Source organism: Homo sapiens, chromosome 9 (genome assembly GCF_000001405.40).
Source record: "Homo sapiens chromosome 9, GRCh38.p14 Primary Assembly".
In the NCBI taxonomy this organism is placed as follows: domain Eukaryota; kingdom Metazoa; phylum Chordata; class Mammalia; order Primates; family Hominidae; genus Homo; species Homo sapiens.
In genome coordinates, this window is record NC_000009.12 from 9372119 (window position 1) to 9398707 (window position 26589).

Here is a 26589-nt window from a genome sequence, read left to right on the forward strand (position 1 = left end):
TCTATTAGGTCCGCTTGGTGCAGAGCTGAGTTCAATTCCTGGGTATCCTTGTTAACTTTCTGTCTCGTTGATCTGTCTAATGTTGACAGTGGGGTGTTAAAGTCTCCCATTATTATTGTGTGGGAGTCTAAGTCTCTGTGTAGGTCACAAAGGACTTGCTTTATGTATCTGGGTGCTCCTGTATTGGGTGCATATATATTTAGGGTAGTTAGCTCTTCTTGTTGAATTGATCCCTTTACAATTATGTAATGGCCTTCTTTGTCTCTTTTGATCTTTGTTGGTTTAAAGTCTGTTTTATCAGAGACTAGGATTGCAACCCCTGTCTTTTTTTGTTTTCCATTTGCTTGGTAGATCTTCCTCCATCCCTTTATTTTGAGCCTACGTGTGTCTCTGCACATGAGATGGGTTTCCTGAATACAGCACACTGATGGGTCTTGACTCTTTATCCCATTTGCCAGTCTGTGTCTTTTAATTGGAGGATTTAGCCCATTTACGTTTAAGGTTAATATTGTTATGTGTGAATTTGATCCTGTCATTACAATGTTAGCTGGTTATTTACTCGTTAGTTGATGCAGTTTCTTCCTAGCCTTGATGGTCTTTACAATTTGGCATGTTTTCGCAGTGGCTGGTACTGGTTGTTCCTTTCCATGTTTAGTGCTTCCTTCAGGAGCTCTTTTTGGGCAGGCCTGGTGGTGACAAAATCTCTCAGCATTTGCTTGTTTGTAAAGTATTTTATTTCTCCTTCACTTATGAAGCTTAGTTTGGCTGGATATCTTTTCAAGTGGAATCACTTGGTCAAAGAGTAATGCACACTCTCCATTTTGAGAAACCTTTTAATATTACCCCACAAAAAATACCAGTTTAGAGTCTCACAAAATATGAAGACTTTCTTCTTCTACATCTCTGCAAACACTCAATGTTATGTATCTTTAATTGCCACTATCTCTGATGCCATGCTCAATCTGACAGTTTATGTTCCTTAGCCATCAAATTGTATTTTTGGAACTAATAGTTTTCACAGAGGCTGTATAGTACAAAGGTTAAAGACATGGACTGAAGACCTGGACTTTCTCAGTTCAAATACCTGTTCTACCTCTTTTTAGGTGTGTAATCGTGGACAAGCTACTTAAACTCCCAGTGCCTCAGAATCCTGCTAAATTTGGTGAGAGAAATAAGTCAATTTAAGTGACTTTCTATAATTTATATGCAAAGAAGAGTACCTAACACCTAGAAACCTTGTAGAAATGCTTGTTATTAGTATTTGTATTAGTTTCTTAGTGCTGCTGTAACAAATCGCATACTACATAATTAGTGGCTTAAAGCAATAGAAATTACAATTCTAGAGGCCAGAATTCTGAAATGAGTCTTATGGGGCTAAACTCAAAGGGTATTCAGGACTGGTTCTTTCTGGAGTCTCCCAGGGAGAATTAATTTCTTGTCTCATCTAACTTTTGGTGACTGTCAGCATTCCTTGACTTATGGTCACCTCACTCCAATCTCTGATTCTGCCAGCACATTGCCTTCTGCTCTTCTCTAATGAAATCTCCATTTCCTTCTCTCTTATAAAGAAATTTGTGATTACATTAGAGCCTATCAGGATAATGTCTTCATCTGGAAATCTTTAATTGCTTTTGCAAAGATTTGACTATGCAGGGTGAAATTCACAGGTGCCATGGTTTAGGACTTGGAAATCTCTGGGGACTTTTTTCAGCCCAGCCCAGTGCTCTTTTACATTTTATATTGGAATACTTGCATTATTTTCATGTATTTGTTAATTTTTTATATATTATGGACATTATATTTTATCAATTATATATAATGCAAATATTTTCTCTTAATGTGTCTTTTAATTTGGCTTACGGTAGCTTTCATAATACAGGCATTTTAATGAGCTTATCATTTATTACAATTAACACATCTACTAGATGGAAATAAATTAAGAAAAATGGTACATCCATATTATGGAATTGTACGCAACCATAAAAATGTGCATCTAAATATTAACCTAAAAATATTCCAGAAATATTAAGTGACGAAAAAGACAGATTTTATGTAAAGTATTCCATCATATATATAAAATGATAGACTGCAAAATTCTAGATAGCTGCCAAGGGGGACAGGAATAGGAGGTAAAATAAATAAACTGTTACTTTTTAATCTATATTAGTTCTATTTAAAACTTTTTATAAGGAATATAGTTATATGTAATTTCTATAATTAAATTTTTAAAACAGGAACATTAAAGTCAAAACAAAATTATATTTAAGGTGCTATAGAATTTCAAAAGAAGAAGATAATTACTTATTTCTGGGAAAATTGAAAGGAGCAACATTTGAGAAAATAAAAGCAGTTTTAACTATAACATAAAGTAAAAGCATATTCCAGAAAGTAGTTTAATAGGATGAAGCTGAATGAGGGTAATAAAGTAAGGTAAAGTAAAGGGAAATAATGACGAAATGCTTCCACTGAATTAAGTCTTAGAAGGCCTTAATGTAAGACAGTTTACATTTATTTCTCCCAGGTTAAAACCCTCAATACGTTGTAACAAATGGACAAACTCTGACTGTTCAGAGTATTGCCAAGTTTACCTAAGCTCTTGTAAAACAATGCATATACAAAGAACAAGGCACCAGCCTGAGAGTGCCCCAGGGCCATCTTTGTCTTACATTGGGCAAGGTCTGAAACATCACCATTTTCATCTTTCAAGTCTCCTAAATGCTCTCATGGTCTTAAGACCAATCATGAAAGAAATTATTGTTATTAATATCCTACCTGCTTATCAATAACAATAACAGAAGGGACAAAGAAATTTGAATTTGGCTTGATATAAAAGACTTTTTAAAGAATTGGATATCATGAGCAAAAATATCATAGAGATTCAGTCATGCTCTCAATTACTAGAACTTTTTTTTACAAAATAGAACAGATTAAACATAGGTCTATAACCAAACTCTGTGTGTGTATGTGTATGTGCGTGTGTGTGTTGGCACATGTGTTTCAAACAAAACTTGAAAGAAACATTTTTGTTAATATCATAAATTTTCTACATCATACTGAAAGACAATGTCTGTTATACCAATGTTCACAGCAGCATTATTCACAGTAGCCAAATGTGGATAATCCACCAATGAATAAGTGAATGAAATGTTGTGCAGGTATCCAACAAAATATGATTCTGCCTTAAAAAAGAATGAAAATGGCTGGGCGCAGTGGCTCATGCTATAATCACAGAACTTTGGGAGGCCAAGTCTGGCAGATCATGAGGTCAGGAGTTCAAAACCAGCCTGACCAACATGGTGAAACCCCATCTCTACTAAAAATATAAAAATTAGCCAGGCATGGTGGCATGTGCCTGTAATCCCAGCTACTCGGGAGGCTGAGGCAGAAGAATCACTTGAACCTGGGAGGCGGAGGCTGCAGTGAGCCAAGATTGCGCCACTGCACTCTAGCCTGGGCAACAGGGCAAGACTCCGTCTCAAAAAACAAACAAACAAAAAACAAAAAAGAATGAAAATATGATATATGCTATAACATAGGTAAACCTTCAAAATATTTTGCTATGTGAAATAAGTCAGAAAACAAAGAATAAATATGGTATGACTCCACTCACATGAGGTATCTGGAATAGCTGAATTCATAGAGACATAAAGTAGGATGATGGTTATCAATGGCAGGGAGGAGGAGTTATTGTTTAATGGATATGAAAAGTCAGTTTGCGATGATGAAAAAGTCCAGGAATGGATAATGATGATGGTTGCACAGTGTTAAAATACTTAATGCCACTGAATGGCACACTTAAAAATCGGTAAAATGGTAACTTGCATGTTACACATATTTTACCACAGTAAAAATAAAATAAAATGTCTGTCAGGATTTAAAGGCCATTCTCCTTGTAAAGAAGGTAGTGTTAAGACATTTTCATAATATAAAGCGCAAGAAAATGAGAACTTGCTCATCATTATTATTTAGTAGATCTTAACATTCTACTATACCATGATTCCTTTTGATTATGTTACGTATTTCAGTGTTAAAAACCATTGAATAATTTGTGTTGAGTGTATGGGCTTGAAAAAAGTCTTCATTCAAAATCATTTTTCTACTATAATCTATATGTATAGGATAGGTAAAATTGTTTTCTCTATGGCAAACAAATGCCTGGATGACCACTAATGCAAGACTGTTTGCTCAGGTTTGAGCTGCCTCAGTTTCACCCTCCTATAAAATTTGACTTTGGCTATAGACAACTTAATCAGTGATTACTAAAAACCAAACCTTCCTCCATCAGTCAAATTATCCTTTAAATTACAACATGCATGCAATTATTTCATGAAATGTATTGACCTACATAGTGTTTAGGACTAGGAATTAAATTTCACCTTTGAGCCCAAGCCCATTAACTTCACTTAAAAGAAATTTGGTGATAGGTATTTAATTACTGATATCCTACAGAAATTGACATTTAATAAAGTGAAACATTTCCTAAACACTGAAGAGCTTTAAGATATGAAATGAAACAGTCTATGTCTTGAAAATGAATCCAGTCTTAAAAGGAAAAAAACATTAATAGAGTCATGTTCAAAAGCTTTTAATAGGACTGTAAGACTGAAATAGAACCCCTCGGGTCTCTTATTATAAAGCAGTATAACATTTTGTTCACAGTCTCAGGATGAAAAAAGAAAGGCGGGATCCAATGAAACACCAAGTTATACATAAAACATAATGTGGAAAATATATATCCTTTAGTATTCAGTAACTTTCTCAGTAATCCCATCTTAATAGACACTAAGAAAATTCCAAAAAATTTGGGCTAGGAGACCAAATCTCAGATCTATATTCTAGGGAGCACTCAATATAAAAACTGAAAATTTTAAGTCTCTTGTCTGCAGGGAATGTGGAAATTTTTAAAAAGCATCATCAAGCTAAAGGAAGAATTTGGCTGGAGAATTGATGTTGGCTATGGCAACATATATTTTTTTTTAATTTCAAAAGGAGTTAAAACAATTTTAAAATAAAACATATAAAAACATCCAGTTATAAGGTTTTTATGCATAAACTAATCATGTATGCAAATACATGTCCATACATAGATATATATGAATACAGTATCTTTGTGCATTTAGTATAGACATTGAAATTACTATAACTATATAAGGAACAAAACAGTAGTCCTCCATGAACAAAAAATACGTCTTGTGCTAATTCTTCCTGGTATAGAATGCCACAAATAAGATGTTTTCCTGTGATTATCAACAATTTTCATCAAGCATCTTAAATTAAAACATTAATATTTGTCAGCAAGTGAGGATCATAGAAAAATAATAATATTAATTTGTTGAGAACTTAGTATGTGCTAAGTCCTTTATATACATCATCTCATCCATATATACAACTCTGTAAGTTTGGCATTATTATTGATCCTATTATCAGAGAAACAGAGGCTTTATTTGGATATTTGTTTAAGGCCACATGGCCAGCAGAGCCATAATCCAACCCCCAGCTTTACATAAAACTAAAGCTTCTGGAATGGATGGATGACTATGAAAAATCCCTTCAGACATTGACTACAAACAGCTTAACAGTGGCCCAGTTAAGCGGAAAAATGTTGGCACAGATGAAACAAGGTGGGTGGTGGGGGCTCAGGGGGTGGTAAAAGTAGCTACAGGAAGTGAGAGAAGTACCACAGTTGAGACACGGCAGGGTCATACCTATTAGGCATACTTCTTAAAATAATATTTTAACTCTCAAGAAGAAAGCACCTCTTCTAGAAGATTTTTGTTTTGTTGTTGTTTCTTAAGACTATTTTTTTTTAAAGAGTAGTTTTAGGTTTACAGCAACATTGAGAGGAAAGTACAGAGATTTCACATATACTCCCTCTCCCACATATGCACAACCTCTCCCATCATCAGTATTTCTCACCAGACTGATATATTTGTTACCGATAATGAACCTCCATTAAAACATCGTTATCCAAAGACCACAGTTCACATTAGGGTTCGCTCTTGGTGTTATACACTTTATGGATGTATATTACAGAGTAGTTTCACCACCCCAAAATCCTCTATGCCCCACCTAATCCACACTGCAACCCCTGGCAACCACTGATCGTTAAATATCTCCATAATTTTGGCTTTTCCAGAAAATCATATAGTTGATAATACAGTATATATCTTTTTCAGATGGCCTTTTTTTCACTTACGAATACACATTTAAGTTTCTCCTTGTCTTTTCATAGCTTGACAGATCATTTCTTTTTAGCAGTGAGTATTCCATTGTCTGGATATACCACAGTTTATCCATTCACCTAGTGAAAGACAACTTGATTGCTTCCAAATTTTGGCAATTATGAATAATGCTGTTATAAACATCTGTGTGCAGGTTTTCTTTGAACATGTTTTCAACTCATTTGCATAAATACTATGGAGATTGTTGCATCATATGGTAAGAGTATGTGTAGTTTTGTAAGAAACTGCAAGCTTTCTTCCTAAGTAGCTCTACCATTTTATATGTCTACTAGTAATGAAGCAGAATTCCTCTTGTCCCATATCCTAGCTAGCATTTGGTTTTGTCAGTGTTCTGGGATTTTTACATTCTAATAGGTGTGTAGTTGTATATCGTTGTTTGAATTCACATTTCTCTAATGACATATACTGTGAATCACCTTTTCATATGCTTAATTGCCATCTGTATATCTTCTTTGCTGATGTATCCCTTAAAATCTTTCACCCACTTTTTAATTTTTTCCTATTGTTGATTTTTAAGTTTCTTATATATTTTGGATAACCGCTCCTTATCAGATGTATCCTTTGTAAATATTTTCTTTTTCCATTCTGTGGCTTATCTTCTCATTCTCTTGACATTGTATTTGAAAATCAGAAGTTTTTTTATTTTAATGAAGCCCAGCTTATCAATTATTTCTTTCATGTTCTGAGTCTTTGGTGTTATAATTAAAAAGTCATTGCTATATTTTGTCATCTAGAATTACTCCCGTTTTATTTTCTCTGAGTTTTATAGTTTTGCATTTATGTCTATGATCCATTTGAGTTAAAAATTTTTGTGAAGGGCATAGGTCTATGTTGAGATATATATATATATGATATATATTTGATATATTTTATATATATATATATATTTGCCTGTGAATGTTCAATGTCCCTCTCCCATTTGTTGAAAGGATTATCTTTACTCCATTGTATTGCCTTTTCTCCACCGTCAAAAACCATTTAATTGTATTTATGTGGGTCTATTTCTGGGCTCTCTATTCCATAAAATTGATCTACTTTCCTATTCTTCGTCCAATACCATGCAGTCTCGATTACTGTAGCTTTGTATTAAGTGTTCAAGTCAGGTAATATCAGTCCTCCAACTTTGTTCTTCTCCTTCAACATTCTGTTTGCCATTCTGGATATTATTTCTCTTTATATAACTTTAGAATCATTTCGTCAGTATCCATAAATTAACCTTCTGAAATTTTGATTGGGATTGCATTGAATCTACAGATGAAGTTGGGAAGAACTGACATCTTGATATTATATCTTCCTATCCATGGACATGAAATATATTTCCATAAATTTGGTTTTCCTTTGACTTCTTTTGTTATAGTTTTGTAGTTTTCCTCATATAGATCATTTATTTTTTGTTAGATTTCTACCTACTGTTTATTTCTGAAGTGTGCTAATGTAAGTGTTATTTTGTTTTTATTTTCAAATTCCACTTGTTCATTGTTGGTATATAGGAAAGCAATTACCTTTTGTATCTTAACCTTGTATATGGAATCTTGTTTTAGTTGCTTATTAGTTCTAGGAGTTTTTTGATTCTTTTGTATTTTTGCATAGAAAATCATCTTATTTGCAACAAAGATATTTTCATTTTTTTCTTTTCCCTTCTATATATTTTAATTTCGTCTTGTTACATTAACTAGGACTTCAAATGTGGTGTTTAAAGGTGTAGCGAGATAGGGAATCCTTTCTTAGTTGAAAACCTTTGAGTGTCTTACCATTAAGTTTGAAGTTAGCTGTAGGTTATTTGTAGAGATTCTTTATCAAACTGAAGAACTCTCCCTATATCCCTAGTTTTACTGAGAGTTTTAATCATGCTAGACATCTCTCTAGACACTACTTTCACTGCATCCCACACATTTTGATAAGTTGTGTTTTCATTTCATTTATTTCAAAATATATTTAAAATTGTCTTGAGATTTCTTCTTTGACCTGTGTGTTATTTAGAAGAATGCAATTTATTATTTATATATTTGTTTTTAATTTTAATTTTTGTGGGTACACAGTAGGTATATATACTTATGGGGTACATGAGATGTTTTGATACAGGCATGCAATGTGAAATAAGCCCATCATGGATCTCCTCATATTTTAGAATTTTCCAGTTATCTTTCTGTTATTGATTTATAGTTTGATTTGTGATATGAAAGCAGACATTTCTTAACTTCTATTTTTAAAAAGTTTGTTCACGTGTGTTTCACAGCTTAGAATGTGGTCTATCTTAGTAAATGTTCCATGTGAGTTTGAGAAGAATTTTTTTTGCCATTGTTGGATGAAGTGTCTATAGATGCCAATTATATCCAATTGATGGATAGCGTTGTCAACAACACTATGTACTTGCCGTTTTTCTACCTGACGTGTCTGACTATTTCTGATACAGGACTGTCAAAATCTCTATGATTGTGGATTCTTCCATTTCTCCTTATAATTCTATCAGTTTCTGCCTCTTGTATTAATAGTTTAACACTCTATTTTTAGGTGTATATATGTTAATAATTGTTACGTCTTCTTGGAGAATTGACCTTTTTATCATTATGTAATGCTCTTCTTTATTCCTGATACATTTATTTGCTTTGAAATCTGCTTTGTCTGAAACTAATAATAGCTATTCGTATTTCTTTTGCTTAGTGTTAGTATGGCATATTTTTCTTCACTCATTTATTTTTAATCGATAAATGATTTTTATATAAATGTGGCTTCCCTATAGACAACATATAGTTGGGTCTTATATTTTGATCTACTCTGACAATCTCTGTCTTTTAATTTGTGCACTTAGACCATTGTTCTTCAAAGTCATTATTGATATAGTTGTTTTAATACTATTAAATTTGTTACTATTTTTTTCTATTTCTTGTCCAAGTTCTTTGTTCTCATTTGTGTCCTTCACTCTTTTACTGCCTTGAGTAGTTTTAATTGTACATTTATACGATTCAATTTTCTCTCTTTTCTTAGTACATCAGTTATGCTTTTTTTTTTTATTTTTTTTTTGACAGGGTCTTACTTTGTCACCCGGCTGGAGTGCAGTGGCATAATCACAGCTCACTGCAGTCTTGACCTCTTGGGCTCAAGTAATCTTCTCACTATGGCCTCCTGTGTAGCTAGGACTATATGCATGCACCACCATACCCGGCTAATTTTTGTATTTTTGTAGAGACAGGGTTTCACCATGTTTCCCAGGCTGGTCTCCTGGGCTCAGCAACCTACCCACCTCGGCCTCCCAAAGTGCTGAGATTACAGGTGTGGGCCACCACGCTCAGACAGCTACACTTGTAAAAAGTGTTTGTTTTTTTTTGTTGTTTTGTTTTTTGTTTTTTGTTTTTGTTTTTTTTTGTTTGTTTTTTAGTGGCTACCATAAAGTTTGCAATACGAGTTTGCACTATAGCTTTGTTATGTATTTTGAAATCAAGAAGTGGGATCTCCAGCTTATGTCTTTTTTTCCCCAAGATTGCTTTGGCTATTTTGAATCTTTTGTGGTTCCATGTGAAATTTAGTATTGTTTTGACTATTTCTGTAAAAAAAAAAAAATCATTGGGGTTTTAATGTGGATAACATTGAATGTATAGATCACTATAGGTAGTATGCACATTTTAAAAACACCAAATTCTCCAATCCATGAACTCAGGACATCTTTCCATTTATTTGTGTCTCTTTACATTTCTACCATCAATGCTCTGTAGTTTTCAGTATATGAGTTTTTCATTTCCTTGTTTAAGTTTATTCCTAAGTATTTTACTCTTTTTTGTGCTATTGTAAATGGGATTTTTTTTCTTAATTTTCTTTTTGAATGATTCATTCTTAGTTTATAGAAACACAAGTAATTTTTATATGTTGATTTTATATATTACAACTTTGCTAAATTCATACATTAGTTCTGATAGTTTTAGGGGAAAAACTTCTTGACATTGGTTTTGGCAATGACATTTTGGATATGATAACAAAAGCAGAGGCAACAAAGCTTATGCACAGCAAAGAAATAATCAACAAAATTAAAAAGGTCATCTACGAATGGGAGAAAATGTTTGCAAACCATATATATGATAAAGGGCTAATATCCAAAATATGTAAGAATCTCCTACAACTAAATAGCAAAAACACAAATAACCCAAATAGAAACTGGGCAAAGGGCTTGAATAGACATTTCCCCAAAGACAACATTCAAACAACCACAAGGCATATTAAAAGATGCAAAATCAAAATGAAAAATGAGATATCACTTCACATCTGTTAGGATGGTTTTATTGAGAAAGAGAGAGAGAGAATAAGTGTCCATGAGGGGACAGAGAAATTGGGACTCTTGCACATTGTAGGTGGGAATGTAAAACAGTACAGCTATTATGAAAAACATTATGCAGTTTCCTTAAAATATCAAAAATAAAACTTATCATATGATTTGGTAATCCTACTTCTGGATATACATTCAAAGAATTGAAATGAGAATTTCAGAGATATCTACCTCCCATGTTCATTGCAGAACGATTCACAATAGCCAAGACACAAAAACAACCAACCTAAATGCCCACCAATAGATAAATGGATAAATGAAAATGTTGTATATTTATATAATAGAATATTATGTTGCCTTATAAAAGAAGAAAATCTTGTCATTTGCAACAACATGGGTGAATCTGAAGGACATTATCTTAGGTAAAATTCCCTGCCATGTCACCACCAGACTGTGTTTCTATATTTCTTAAATTTGGGAATTATATTTTTAGATCAAAATAACTTTTTATGAAATCCTACCATTTTTCTTTTGTGATTTGGCACTTTTCAGGTTTTGTGCTATTATATAACTTTCATATCATTTCCAGAGTTATTCTCCAACTAGACTATATACTCCCTAAAGACAAGAAAATTGTCCTATTTTTTCTCATACTATCCAATGAACCAATACCTGCTTTAAACATATTAAACATTTAATAAATATTTAAAATTTTATTTCTGAGTACAAAATAAGTAAACAGATGGCAGAAAGCATACTATGGACATACAAGTTCACCATGTTATATCCTTAAGAGAATTTGTATAATGTGATTTACAAAGTACTAACTGAACTTATTAATTCTAGAATAAGGAGGCCAGAAAATATCACCAACTTGCTCTTCATCATCCTGAGTATATTATTTGATTGAGGCAATGCCATGTTTGGAAATGTCTTAATGCTTTAAGCAATACATTATTAAAGTTAAATGATTTGGCTAAGAAAAAATTGTGATTCATATATTGTCACTTTTTATATCTATGCTTACATTTATTTTTATGAAAAGTTATCATAAGCTTTTATGCGGTACCTTAATTATATTTATTGGTAAGTGTAGGGTAAGTCCTGCTGCAGTAGCAAACAGGCCCAAATCTCAAGTTAATATTTATTTCTCCCTTACGCTAAAATTCCAGAGTCCCTCAGCAAGGACGTTCAGCTCACAATGGGGACTCAGGGATCAAGTCTAATAGAAGAGTAGCTACCTTGAATCCTGATAATCATTGTTCCAGAAAGAACAAAGCATTCTGTGTGTTTTTGCAACAGTAATTCAATGCTTGTTCCAGAAGTGATATCTAACCCTGCTCAGTATATTGACCAGAACTAAACACAAGGCCCTGTGCACACACAAAAAGTCTAATAAGCATAAACCTATATACGAGATACAGTTTGCCAACAACCACATTCTATTACTAATTATATTGAATTCAAACAATGAAGGGACATTAAAAACTTTTCACATACTTTTTTTTTTGCTTATAGATACATAATTTATATTTTACAAACAAACATATATCTCAGTGTGTTACTTACATAAAATCAGTGAACTAGTAGGTATAGAAGATGATGAATAAATCTAGGCTTCTTTGGATTTTCGGTGTACCATGTTGTGTATTGTAAAATTTTGTGTGCAGTTTACGTCAGGTATAAAAGGTTTTATGTTGAAGATGATATTTGAGCAGAAGACTAGGCTTTTTTTTTTTTTTTTTTTTTTTTTTTTTTTTTTTTTTTTTCTGGTGGGTCAACAACCCTATCCAAGAGATAGTTCAATGTAGAAACATCATTTTTGTATGAATCTAACACTAATCACCTGGTATGTTGAGGTCGAGTTTTTGAGCTCTTGCAGTAAGTATTCACTACATTTTTATTTAACTTGTAAAATATGTTCCTTTCATGGTCTTGGCACTTGTAACAACTTTTCTAATTAAGCCAACTCCTAAAAAATAAATAAGGAGATTCCTTGACATTTAAAAACTGATTGCTTTCTTACCCTGGTTGTTAATGTTTCTTGTAACTTGTAGTTGTTGGTTGTTTGCCAATACTAATAAAATGAGCTCCTTGATCACTAAATATTATTATACAGACTTTCTATTATGATGAATTTTCTCATTGCTGCTTTTTTCATGCTTCACTATTTGTTTTCAGATTTTTAGTGATATTTCTATTTGGTGACTGTTGCAGAAAACACCCTTATGGAATGAGACATTAGAAAAGAAAGTGCCTCTGAAACAATTATGCATTCTGAAACTCTCAAACACTTTAAAAAGTTGTTCATAGTATCTCTCATAATTGATTGAGCATATATATGTTCAATATATCATTTTTTCTAAACAGTGTTTCAAACTTTGAAGTATTTATATTTTTTCTATCAGGTGCTATTTGGGCAATAGGAAATTTATTTCCTGACTGAAGCTCTTTCATAGGTTGAACAAACACAGGTCTTCCAACATAATGCCAGGATGTAGACATAATATCAACAGAAAAAAAGAATAATGAACCCACATGTTCTGTCTTCATTTACCAAGTATCCACTTGTCTGAAAGCCTTTAAAGTAATTTGGCATTTTCACCTATATTCATTTGGACTTTCAAGCACTATGAAGACAGCCAGAAATTTTAGTCAAACATTTATTTGCCACAGTTTTCCTCCAGGATATAGACTATTTTTCTTCCGTATGATCAACAGTCTTCAAAACGTGGTCCCAGAGAGTAAAATAAACAAGAGGAAAGTGAGATAAATGAGAGGAAAGCGAAGTACTAGACAATCTTTCACAAGGATCTCAAAATGCTTACAGATTCTACTTTTGCTTTAAGCCTAACCTGGGTCAGTAATCACAGGAAACCAATCCTTTCATATATATTTTCAGGAAAGTGTGTGAAATAAAGTTACCAGTCCTTTCAGTGAGCAAGTATTTCATCCATAAACCTTCTAGCTACTCTGTGGCATGGCTATGTGCATGCTTGTGTGGATGCCCAGACTGGACAAACCTTAGTGAAAGTGAATACAGGCAAGAAGAATGATCATTCTCAGTATGCTGGGTAAGGGAACACCCATTAAACCATGTACTTTTCTATGTATTTAATATACATTAACTCATTTAGTCGACATAACTTTGGGGTGAATGTCACTTTTAAATTCCGCTTTCCATTTGAAGAAATAATCTTGTAATTAAAGTGAACAGTCCAAAGATACATAGAAGGTAAATGTTAGAGGTGTCATTTAAGCCTAACTATGACTCCAGTCTTATGTTCTTTTAAAATATGCTGTATCATAAAACAAGTATGAACACTCACCAGGAGCCTCCTTTGTATGTGTATCTATTTGCTTCTGGAATAGCTGTGTTGGGAGATTTCAGAAGCCCAGTATGGCCTGCATCTTATATGAAAATACTTACCTAAGGGAAAATTTTAGACTTCCTACTACAAAAAGAGGCAACTATTTGTTTACCCCAAGCTTAGGTGAAATTGTATTACCTGAGTCCTAGTCTGTAGGCTTAGTTACAATGACAGCGTCCAATATATGTTTCCAATGACATGCATCTTCTAGATTTCCCTTAATCCTATGTGACTGGAATGAAGTATGTGAGCCCCTGGCAGGCATGAGTCTACAGACTCATGAACCACATGGGGATTCATCACCTAGGGTTGCTGACCTGCTAAAATGCCTCACATTGAACCAATGAGGTACGGCACTGAGAAAACAACTTCAAATGCCTCTGGTATGTCAAGCAACATATTTTAGTAGAGAAGACTCCAGCAAATAAGAGAATGAAGAGTGAGGGTAGATCCCGGTAAAACGAATGGTGGTTGCATTAGCCTTTCTGGAAGCTTCAACAGGGCAGTGGTGAGACTCTTGGTAATGATTAAGTCTTCCAAGTCAATCATTTTGAAGACTAATATGCATTTTATAACAATGGTTATTATATATATTTGTAGAGGAGGAGGTGAGAGAGTTGTAGCAAAATGCATTTTAAATAGCAAAATATGAGGAAAAATTAAAATATTTCCTAATTTTCTAAAAATTAAAACCTTCACATGTACATAAAATCACACAAATATTATGATTAATATTTCTGTGTTCATTGTTAAATTAACCCTCTGGATGGGGAAAAAAAGATAATAAAGGCAAGGAGTAGGTTATAGTTTATAGGTCTGAGGCTTCATGGACATTTGGATGTACTCTGGTATTTTATGAAATAAAAGGGAACTGAAGGTCCATCTCAGGCTCCTGAGCCCCAACACAGAGGCATTTTCCCTTATCTAAAGGGAGAAATGAAACAACCCTTTATGCAAAATCTACAGAATGAGAATTCCAAGAATTTGTGTCCTAACAGCTCAGATGAGAAATAACATAACTTATTTAACGCTCAGAGGGACTTTGATGTGAGTGCAGGTGCTAAGGTTGATTATTTGTTCTTTCCTTTGTCTTAGCCAGAATGGCCAAAGACCTACATTTACAAAGGCTTACATTGGAATGAATTTTCTGCAACAGTAAATGGAACACAGTACTTCAGCTAGGGCATCTCTAATGTTTTCAGTGTGTGTTTATGTGAAATCTAGTAAAGACCCAGAGAAATAAATGTTTTATCCTTCCTGGCAAAGACTATTTTAATAATACAAGTTGGTTTTTCAGATTTGTTGAGAGAATTTCTATTAAGCAAGTGGAAGCACAGTTTAGGGCTAGAGTGTCTCATTTTGGTGAATGTTATTTTTTTTCTTTAGATTTTAATTAAGTTATTTCTTTTGAAATTAAAATAAAGTTATTGAGGACATTTATTCGTTTCCCCTTTTATACCTAGAGTACAGACTTTTTTCTTTTTAAAGAGAAAATGTTTTTATTTCAACCTTATTTTTGAAGGGTGGTTTCACTGAATATAGGATTCTTGGCTGAAAAAAATTCCCTCCTCTGCTTTTATTAATACTTTCTAGAAATATCACATATCTTCTTTAAATTAAGTGAGCAGAAAATTATTGTCCATTATGGACACTTCAGAGGCACTTCTGAAAGTGATAGTACATGCTATTATTTGTCACATTGAAACAGGAAGGGTTCCTTTGTCCCCCTCTCAGGGCCTATGGGATGGGGGCATGGCTCACTTCTTCAGCTCCCCACTGCTCAATCCTCTAGGGGAGCATACAGATGGGCAGGCTGTGGGGCTCCGACCCTATGGCAATGTCTGTGGTAAAAATGAATGTTTTTCATTTCATTTTCATTATGGTAAAAATGAATGTTTACAGCTGAAGCCCCAGTGGGCATGTGTTACAGGGTGCTCTTTTAGTTTCCCACCTATAGGTGGCCTGTGTTAACCAGCTTAATTAGACCCCCCTTCCTTATCACAAGGACAGAGGGATTTCTGTATCCCGGAGTTTCTTGCCTTGCTGTACTGGAAGAATTGGATCACACGTGGGCTTGGGAAATTAGTGCAAGGTTTTATTGAGTAGAAGTAGCTCTCAGCAGATGGGGGAGCCAGAAGGGAAACTGGTTTTCCCCATGACCAGCCGCTTGTGTCTTCTTCCATTGACATGTTCCTCTTGCTGTCCAGCAACTTCTGTCCTTACCTTGCTAGGGTCTTGGGTTTTTATAGGCCCAGGATGGGGGTTGTGGCAGGCCAGGGTGGTCTTTGAAAATGCAACATTTGGGCACAAAGGCAGAAGTGCCTGTCCTCAACTAGGTCTGTGGGGATGGAGCTTTAGCCAGGGACCACACACTCCTCTACTCAGCACTTCCCTTCCCCTCTTCTGTATCATTTAAAGGGACCACTCTCTTCCCTTCCCAGCACTAATGTATCAATATATCTAAATGCATAGCATGCTAATAATTGCACTGGGAGAAGAGACATGAACTAGGACTGTCCAAGTAAACTAAGATGTATGGTTACCTTAGTTTTAAGCAACAGTCAGGTACTGAAGAGAAAGCAATGGTGAATGATTCTAAGGCTTCATTCAATCACAGGCTTGTTCTCATATACAAGTTTATGAAGAAACATGACTAAAAAAACAGATTGTACCAGGAAAGTTTTAAATATACGAGCTGAAATCTGCCATAAAAAAATTAAATAAAAATATTTTATTCCAGTAATTATAGGTATTAGTCTAAGGAAAGTAAGTAGCATATGTATACTAATGCATTTTGTTAATTTCTCCAAGATAATTTCTCAAACACTCAGAAAGAATAAATAATAAAACAGGCTTTCTGAGATAATGAGTATAAGGGAATGCAATAATATTGCCAGTCTCCTGAAAAAAAAATCTTTCACAGTGGGCATTTTAATCAGGATCATTAGGGAGAGTTGGTGCTGAACAATAAATCAGTGTGGGAGAAAAAATATATATGCATATATTTCAGTTTGTAATAGGAGTCTATGGGATTGTCTCTGACTTTGGGCAAGTAACTAAACTTTTTCTGTGCCTCATTTTTCTCATTTATGAAATTGATATAATAATAGTGCCTCCATTATAAGGTTGTGGTGAGGATTAAATTTGATAATATATGTAAAACATGTAAAATAGGGGTAATATATCTAGCAGCATACTGCTTAATGATTGCTTTTATTATGTTCTCAAAAATAGTAAAACGCAGCTGGGCGCAGTGGCTCACGCCTGTAATTCCACCACCTTGGGAGGCCGAGGCAGGTGGATCACCTGAGATTGGGAGCTTGAGACCAGCCTGACCAACATGGTGAAATCCCATCTCTACTAAAAATACAAAATTAGCCGGGCGTGGTGGCACATGCCTGTAATCCCAGCTACTCGGGAGGCTGAGGTAGGAGAATTGCTTGAACCCGGGAGGCAGAGGTTGTGGTGAGCTGAGATCGTGCCATTGCACTCCAGCTTGGGCCATTCCAACTCCATCTCAAAATAATAATAATAATAAAAAAACATTAATTATGTTCCAGTAATTTATCTCTAATTGCAATAACTTTAAGTTTCACCTTTTTTACTTGCCTCATAAAATGAGATATACCAACCATTGAGAAGCCTTGAATATATATTCATGTGTATTATGCTGTAAAGAAAACCATTTGATACTGTACCTAACAGACAGTCATTCTAGCAACAGCTAAGTAGGGAATCCTTGAATAGAGTCCTAGAATATTCATTTACTTGTTTATTTCTATAATTTGACTGTCCATTTGTGCAACAAATAGTTATTGAACATTCACTCTGTGCCAGAGCCTGGGGATACAGGAGGGGATATTCTAAACAAAGTCAATCCTTTCTTATGGCTTCCCTAGTTTCTATAGATTCTAGTATTAAAGGCTGGACAAATAAATAGATTTATCAAAGGCAAGGTAGGTAAGTGCTCTGGAGGCAATGGAAAATAGATTAAGAGCATTAAGTGGGATAAGAAGAGACAGAGGTGGGAGAAAAGCATTGCGGTAGGGTGACATTTCAGCAGAGACTTCAAGGTTGCTAGGGGAAGTCACATGCTGTTATGTGAGAAAGCACTCCAGGTACAGAGAGCAGAGGCCAAAGTCCTCCAGCCTGACATTGGTTGGGGATTCCTGGGACAGCGGGGAAGCCGGATTATCTTAAGCAAGTGAAAGAGGAAGATGGAGGTGGGAAACCATGTCAGACAGGAGGTTAGGTGATGGGCAACTTTGAAGGCCATTGTAAGGACTTGGCTTTCATTCTGAGTAAGATTAAGGATCCATTGGAGAGTTTTGAGCAAAGATTATGTGAATTAGAATACAGAAGTACTTAGATTTTTACTTTTAATATACTTATTAAGAGAAATGGGAAAACAAATTCCTGGGCTCCATGAAATACTCGTCCACTCTATCAGTCAATGGTAGATTCTGTCTTGCAGTTCTCCAGGCCCTCTGAACAGCTATCTAATGTCCTAAAGTATTCATAGAAACAATAAAAGATAAGAGAGTAAGAGAAAAGAAGAAAATAATTTTAAAAATTTAAAAATGTGTTATTATTGTTATTATTGCCTTAGGACAGGTAAAAGAGGTAAGAGATCAAGGAGATAACTCTTGGACAAGTAGATCTCATTACAACTTTTAGTACAGTCACAGATGCTTTACATGATCAACTGAAGCAGACTTAGTGTTGCTTTTAAGGAGGACAGCAGGCACAGTCTTATCAAGTTCTGAATTTCCTCACTTGGTCAAGCAGTTGCTGTGTGACTTTGAAAGAGTTATTAATACATTAGTAATCTGTGTTTGTTTCCTCATCTGTGAAATTCAGTAAATCCATCTTACATGCTGGTTGTGAGGGGTAGTGACCTGGCAAATAGTAATCACAGGCAAGTGTTTGTTGTCATTGATAACAAGATTGGATTTCTAAGAAGATGGTGTTGATTGCAAGATGGTGTTTATCAAGATATCTTGATAAGATAGTTTTTATTGTGAGATGCATTATTAAGTTGAGCTTTGCTTTAAGCATAAGAGACTGCATTAAGTGCACTAATTGACTTTTAAATCTATTTAATTTTCAGAAATGTCAAATATGAATAAAAATATGAAATGAATGGAGGGTTTATGATCAGGGATATTCTATGTTACACATTTACTGCTTTATCATTTAAAATAAGCCCCCAAATTGAAAGTGAGTCAACATTTGACATATCAGTATTTTCCAAGGAATAATTTGTGTAGCCAGTTTTCAAAACTAGAGGCTATAAACTACTCTGATTTTTAAATGATATTGATAAACAAGGAGACATTTCATTTTTTAAATGACTAATGTGATTATCAAAATAAAAGAATAAAAAATATAAGACTTGATTTGACTAATGGGTAAAACATGAATGCCACTAGGTAAGACTATTTCTATCATGACATTACCTTAAATTAGAAATCACTAATTATGTATGCATGTGCCAAAATATAACTACTCTAGCAAGTGATGAATTTGCATATACAATGATTTTAATCAAGGCACTTCTTTGATTGTACAATTATCTGTTTTGCATACACAAAATCTGAATTCTGTACATGTGAGTCCTCATTTGTATATGCACCAAATTATTTTGTTGGTGCAACTTAGAAATCTCTACTTGATATATTAGGGCATTATTTCTCTTCCATTTATAGTAATATGTTTTCAGTTTTTATTAAGTAGTAAAACCAAACTCCCTGGAAAAACATGGGAGGTGGGCCCTGCCTCTAGTCATAATAGAGGGAAATGCCACTGTATTTCTATTCTGTGTTAAGAAAAAGCAAAAAGTTTCTTCTACACACCGTTTGTTCCTTTCTGCCTTCTTATTTGGAATGTATCTCAAAATTTAAAGAAGACTTTGGTTCACAGAGAGAACCCTTGAGTGGTAATCATATTGAGTTCACTCAATTTTCCACATTGTTAGTCTGTAAATGATGAGAGTAGGGTGTTGATCCTTACTACTCTTAAGCAACAGAGAAAATTTAGAGGTGGTGGAAAGTACCAAATTTATAGTCCTAGAGACAAATATTCTCTGTAGAGTTCCTGAAAAAAGAAATAGCCGGAAAAGCAGTGAGGCAAAACTCGTTATTTCATTATGGTCTTGCTGGACAACTGAGACTCCCCTTGGCCCTCAGCGAGAGCAGTGTGCTACATACAGTAATCTGGGCACATTGATGACCGCAGTGTAAAGCTCTTAGTAAGTGGGATGTTTGTTTTGTAGTTAAGTCATCCTGACAGGCCCATTGGGTCATAAACCTGCTTACAATGCAAAGTTATTCACAACCTCAAAATGAGACTTCTGTACATTACAGATAGGTCATTGGTAACAGCAGAAGTCTTAGCTTTTTAATCATTCAAATCAAGATCTTTTCTGCATATTTGGGTTTGGTCTTGAGGATTCAACTGAGATAAAATTGTCTCATATCAGTAGATACAAAATTACCACGGTCCTTCTGTTGTCTACCTGCCTGCAGATGTGTCCTTGCAAGAATGGGATCCTATGTTAGGTCAAGAGTAGAATTCTAGCTTGTAAATTTTCAGTTTTGCTACCTTTGCTGTGACTCTAGGGTAATTTGATAATCAGGCTATAAAGAGATCCTTTCAAAGTCTCTGAATTTTCGAACTTTGAACCTTGCTTTTACGTAACACTGAATTTTCTATAATGCATTTCTTCTTGGCTACATAGATGACCCACTGTTATTGGAATAAGCCCAGGTCAAATTTGTCTATGATGTCTCTTCAACAATATTTTGTAGTCTGTTTTCTTCCAGTCTTCACTTTCAATCTCCTCAGGGAGGGAATATATAGTAATGAAACTATATTACAGTAATTAGAGTCAGCCACATTGAGACAGCCAAGCAAAAAGGGCTTCCTGGAGAACCTCTGACCAACCTGCACACTGGGAGAATGGGGTGGAGCCATGGAAATTCCTGTCATTTGCAGAGGGGAGGAGCCTGGTCTCTTAAGTTCCTGTGTGATGGGGCGGGAGCTGGTTAATCGGCTTCCCTCTTGCTCAGCTGAAAGTTTTTCTCTTTTTCCTTTTTTACCCAATAAATTGTTATTCTCACCCTTCTATGTGTCCACGAACCTAATCTTTCCTGGCCATGTGACAAGAACCTGGTTTTAGCTGAACTGAGAAGAAAGCCCTGCAACAACATCTGGTGTGATAGACTGAACCATGCCTCCAGGTATGCGTATACTTGTCATCTTTCTCATTAACTCTGGGTTTGTTCATATAACTTATTTTGACCAATGGGACATTAGCAAGCTTGATACCAGGAGAGGCACTTGCAATGGGGATTCTCCTTTGCAAAACTCCTTGGAGCTGAGCTGCATGCTATGCGAAAAACCATGCTAGTCTGCTATATGGAAAGGATATATGGACAGCCATTGGAAGGTGACTCACCATATAGAAAGAGGGGCCACATGGAAAAGAACTGAGACCTCCAGTTAATCTCTTAGCTGAATATAGTTGCATGAGATCCCTATTGACACTTATTGGAGTGGAATAACTGCATAGTCAATCCACTCTCAGCATCATGAGGAATAACAAATTTTTATTTTAAGGCACTGAGATTTAGGGTGGTTTCTTCCATAGCAACAGATAATTGATATAGTTGGGTTAAATTCAGCCTCCATTATTTGCTGAGCTATGTGACTTGGTGAGTAGTTTAAGCTTTCTAATCCTCAGATTCTTGAGCTCTAAAATACACTGTTATTTCCACAAGGCTGCGGAATGGATTAAATACTGAATATAAATAATTTAGCACAAGGCCTGAGCTATAGTAAGTGCTTAATAAGTGGTAGTAATTACCATCAATTTCATCATTTCAGTCAACATCACCATTATCACAAATATCATAACTATTAGCACCCATGCCAACACGAACTCCGCAACATTGCCACCAATACTTTCCTGATAGCTAGTGCTTTCATGATGCCCTTAGTGTCTACTGCCACGGAGAAAATCAACCTTTTTCATTAAGACATTTTTAAACCATACATACACACAAAACTTTAATTTTTTAAACCATACATACACACAAAACTTTTATTATCCTAAAATATGATGTAATAAAAATAAGTTATTTACATGTCCCTTTACATCATTTAATCAGATTACTAAACAGGTAAAGAGATTTGACAAAATCATTCAGAAAGCAAATGGAATGGCTATATTTGAATTCTGTGTCTTCGTGTCATTAATGCTGAGACCTTTTAAAAAATTCTGGTTGTTCTAAAAATAAGAGCTTGCATCTCTCACTAGAAGGACATCTCCATAGGGGAAGATATTTTATTGCCTTTAGTGCTCTATTCCTAGTGCCTTAAAAATTGCCTAGTATATAAAAGCTCCTCCAGAAGTGTTTGTTGAATACATGGATCAATTCACAACTGATTGGAAGTTTACAGGACATGTATTGTGTAGCCAGAATATCTGAGTTTGAATCTCAGTTCTAACACTTACCAGTTACGTAAATTTTAGCAATTTAATATTTTTGTGCCCCAGTTTTCTTATATGTAAAGATGATAATAATAGCACATATTATCTAGGATTGTCCTTATAAATATGAAACTCTGAACAGTGCCTGGCAAATAGTCATCACCATGTAGCTCTTGTTATTATCATTATCTTGTTATATTGAGCTCTATTGGTGCATAGAATAGTATATATACATTATTGATTTAAAGAACGGGAATATGTAGCATATTGAAAGAAAGTCAAGAGAGATGGTGTTGTGTGGTCTAAAACAATGGCTTCCAAGCTCCATTTTTGATTAAAATCATCTGGGATGATTATTAAAATCCAGATCCCTGCCCACTCTACTCCTCCTTCCATGCTCTATATTTGTAACAATTGCACCAAAGATCATGTTTGCATAGTCAGCTTTGGAATGCAGTGAAATCAAATGAATTTTAATAATGCATGTTCAGGTACCATATGATTTAATTAGAGAAGCTATTTTGGTACAGGGGTTTTTCCATTGACCTATAAATTCAATCCTGTGGGGAGTTGTGCATTCTACCATGTCTCCACCATGTGCCATTTGGATGTCTCCTCTCTCCTTTCTTCCTTTCCCTTCCTCCCCTCATCCATAGAGAGAAGATGACTACTCCCAGTTGATGCTGACCCTCCCAGGAACATGAAACAAAAAAAAAAAAAAGTATGGGGTCTAATAGGTCCTTGCTACTCAAAGTGTGATCCACAAAGCAGCAACATAAACATCACTTGAGAACTTGTTGAAAATGTAAAATTTCAGGCCCTAATGTAAGGGATTTTCAACTCCATTTCCTGATATAATCACCAGGGAGCTGAAGCATCAAAGTTTAGATGTTAGGCTTCATTTACCTTGAGAGACTCTGAGTTAATTGGTTTGGGTACTACCCAGGTCTAACTAGCCTTTTCGACTTCACAGTTGATTCTGATATGCAACCTGGTTTAAGAAAGGAGAGTTTTAGCAGAAAACTTCAATTGATTTTGAAACTTCTACTTCCATGGCCTTCTTCAAGCACCTACAAGACTCTGGGTTTCAGAATATTCTTCAGATTTCCTTGTACCAGTGGACCAGTGGCAGATTTCCTTGCACCAATTTCCTCTTGACCCCATTATTCATGGTTACTAACCAAACCTGCCAACTTTGGCATCTACCCCCTTTTCTCAGTAATCTTGAGATCTGAACTAGCTGAACAAATAGACTGGAAAGCATTCACAACGTCAGTAGGAATGTGGTACGAAACCAAAAGCATTTTATCACATTTTCAAGCAAAACTCAAGTACTTTCAAGCATAATAATGACGATAACGTCTACTTGTATTATGGTTAGGACTATCTACCCCCACAACCATTGTTGTTGCTTTTTGTAATCGGACTATTGCAAAGTGATATGATTGCCTTTGAATAGATTGCAGTATTAGAATAATATATTTATATTTTTGTAAAATCTTGTATTTTGTTCACTCACAAATTACTTGACTGAAAGAGACTGACTTTCTTCAATCCTTTACAGTTTACCCTGGAATAATTAGGTAATAAGAGGGAAAACAGACATAGAAGCTAGTCAAGACCCAGTTCTTTTTGTATGTGACTCAACAAAACAGCATTTTTGCTGTAAATCTTAAGATAATCTTTGAACACTGAATCAAGAGCACTAAAAGTCAAAACCAAATCAAACGTTTGAAAAATTAATGTCTTGATTGAAGTCCCTTGGGGAGCCGTCAAAGGAACAGAGTTATTTATATACTACCTTACTATTTACAGCATGGTCTTTAAACCAGCAGCTTTGTACCACCTAGGAACTAATAGAAATGCATATTATTGGGCCTTACTTCAGCTCAGATTCTAAATCAGAATCTGCGTTTTGAAAAGATAGCCCACATTATTCATAGACATATTAAGGTTTGAGAAGCACCAATGTAATATACAATAAGGCTTTTAATATTTTTTTCCAACATTTGCTTTTTCTTAAGTCACACCACATACAGCATCCCATACAGTTGATCTATTATTTCTTACCCAAAACCTATGTAAATTTTTTTACGCCTTCAAAATTGTTATCTTCCTGCCAACCAGCTCCCACTCTGGCCATTTCTTATTTTACCAAGCAGTCTAGTCTGAGGGAAGGGGGAGGATGCTATACAAAGACACTCTTTCATAACATTTTCCTTATCGCAATTGAATAAGAACAAAAAATGCAACACTTTCTCTCAATCTGCTCTAAACTGGTAAACTCTCAAGAAGTAAAATGAGTAACAATTTTATGTAGAGTCTTCTTTCTCTAAGTCTGGCAATGTGCAGAGAATCCTTGAAAATACCAGTTTACCAGTACTGTGAAAGCACACAAATATGTTGTGTTTATTCTTCCAAGAGAGACATAAATGGGTAGCAACTTCTCCAGAGATTAACTATATTGTTCCAAGTTATATCCACTCATCTTAGTTTCCAATGAATAATCATAGCAATATAAGGCAATTATGTAAGCTAAGGAATGTAAATTCTTTTTTCTTCTTTCTCTTATGGTATGGATAGTAGAGAAAACAAAAAATAATTTTTGTGTCAGTATCCACTGGGTATTCTGCTATCAATCTAAAAACTATAAAGTATTTCTTGTAACTACTAAAAGAGTAACTAACAACAGGATATTACTTTTCTAGTTGATTGAGAGATTGTTAAAGTTTGAGTAAGTGAAGCATTTGTGAAAATAAACATCTCTGTTGACAAAATCTGGTTGAAAACTAAAGTCTTACTTTTAATTGAAAAGAAGAAACAAAACATCCTAAAATGCCTAATGAACTGCCAGAAGGAAACTCATTCAAAGAATTTTAACCAAAGGTTTTATAGGTAAAATAAAACCTTTAGAATATCAAAAAGAAAAGTATTCCGTGCAGACATAAGATGAGCAAAATAAACTTACCACAGTTGTTCAGTTAATGGACAGGCACCATCATCTGAAACAACAAAAATGTATTTTGATATTGTGATCATAAAAACTACCAAAACCTTTCAAATTGTCTTCAAACACATGTTATGGACATATCTATAGAAGCAAAATAAAATTAAGTAAGCAATGAAGATACGTTATCTGACCTCAATTATTTATTTCAGATGAAAGTGTTTCATCACCACCATTTAAGGAGTAAAAAAGATATTAGTTGTTTATTCAAAAATCTTTTTTATAGGCATACCTGGCATATATATGTATTGCACCAATATTTTCTTCTGATATATATGTTTAAAAGGCAGGCAAAAATACAGAGTCATCTCTTTAATACAATCTTGGTCCTGGCACAAACACAATCTTGAATTACTGGTCCTAATTCTCAGCTCTGACAGTGCCATATACACCACCTTCCTGAGCTCAAAAATTCTCTTTGTTGCCTACCTAAAACAAACTAAAGTGTTTAGCATAGCATTCAGGAGCTTTAGTAGGTTGGTCCTATTCTAACTGTTTATGATTCTTTTCCATAATTCTCCAGTGCATACTCATGCTACCTTTCAAGTTTATCTCCCACTATTTTCCCTTGTACACTAGTCTCGAATCATAAGCCCACCTTCCCTTCCTCCCTCCCTCCCTCCCTGCTTCTCTTTCTCCCTTCCTTCCTTCCATACTTCGGTTTACTTCATTTGCTCTGCCTCAATATTTTTTTCTAGCCATTCCTTATGGCCAGCTCAATTAACATTTCTTCAATAGAGGTTGTCTTGACACCTAGAGAAGAAATTATTCTCTTTCTAGATGTTCCCACCATATTTTATATGTTTATTACAGTATTTATCAGATTCTATTTTGTGTGTTTAGCCCATATTGGTGTTTATGCCTTAACCCTGTTCATTGTTCCCTACCCAGAAGACTTCCTGCTATGCCTCTGAAATAGGAGATGTCCAGAAGATTCTAGTTGAGCTAAAGGAGACAATTTATTTAGTGTATAGATAGCATATGGTGCACATTTTCCATATTTTGTCAATCATTCTTTAAGTGAAAAGTGCAATTTCCATTGCAGTTTCTGGAATAAAACTTGACTGTTAAAGTCATAGTAATATACCCTATGAACAAAACTTCTTAGTTTAACAAAAAAATAAAGAAATTGAGGGTGAAGAATGTCCTTTATTGATAAATGATTTTTAGAAAAATTCTTTAAGACTTTTTCAATCATATGGGAATACATTTTATTTTTA

At 34.6% G+C, this 26589-nt stretch overlaps 1 protein-coding gene across 38 annotated transcripts in view; it reads right to left on the minus strand.

Annotated features, from left to right (window-relative positions):
- Positions 1 to 26589, minus strand: part of PTPRD (protein tyrosine phosphatase receptor type D) — a 2298757-nt gene that overhangs the window by 1057873 nt on the left and 1214295 nt on the right. For all 38 annotated transcript variants that reach the window (NM_002839.4, XM_017014961.3, XM_006716827.5 and 35 more), the window contains one exon: positions 25331 to 25364. The gene's annotated coding sequence lies outside the window, so the exon portion shown is untranslated. The remainder of the gene's footprint in view (positions 1 to 25330; positions 25365 to 26589) is intronic.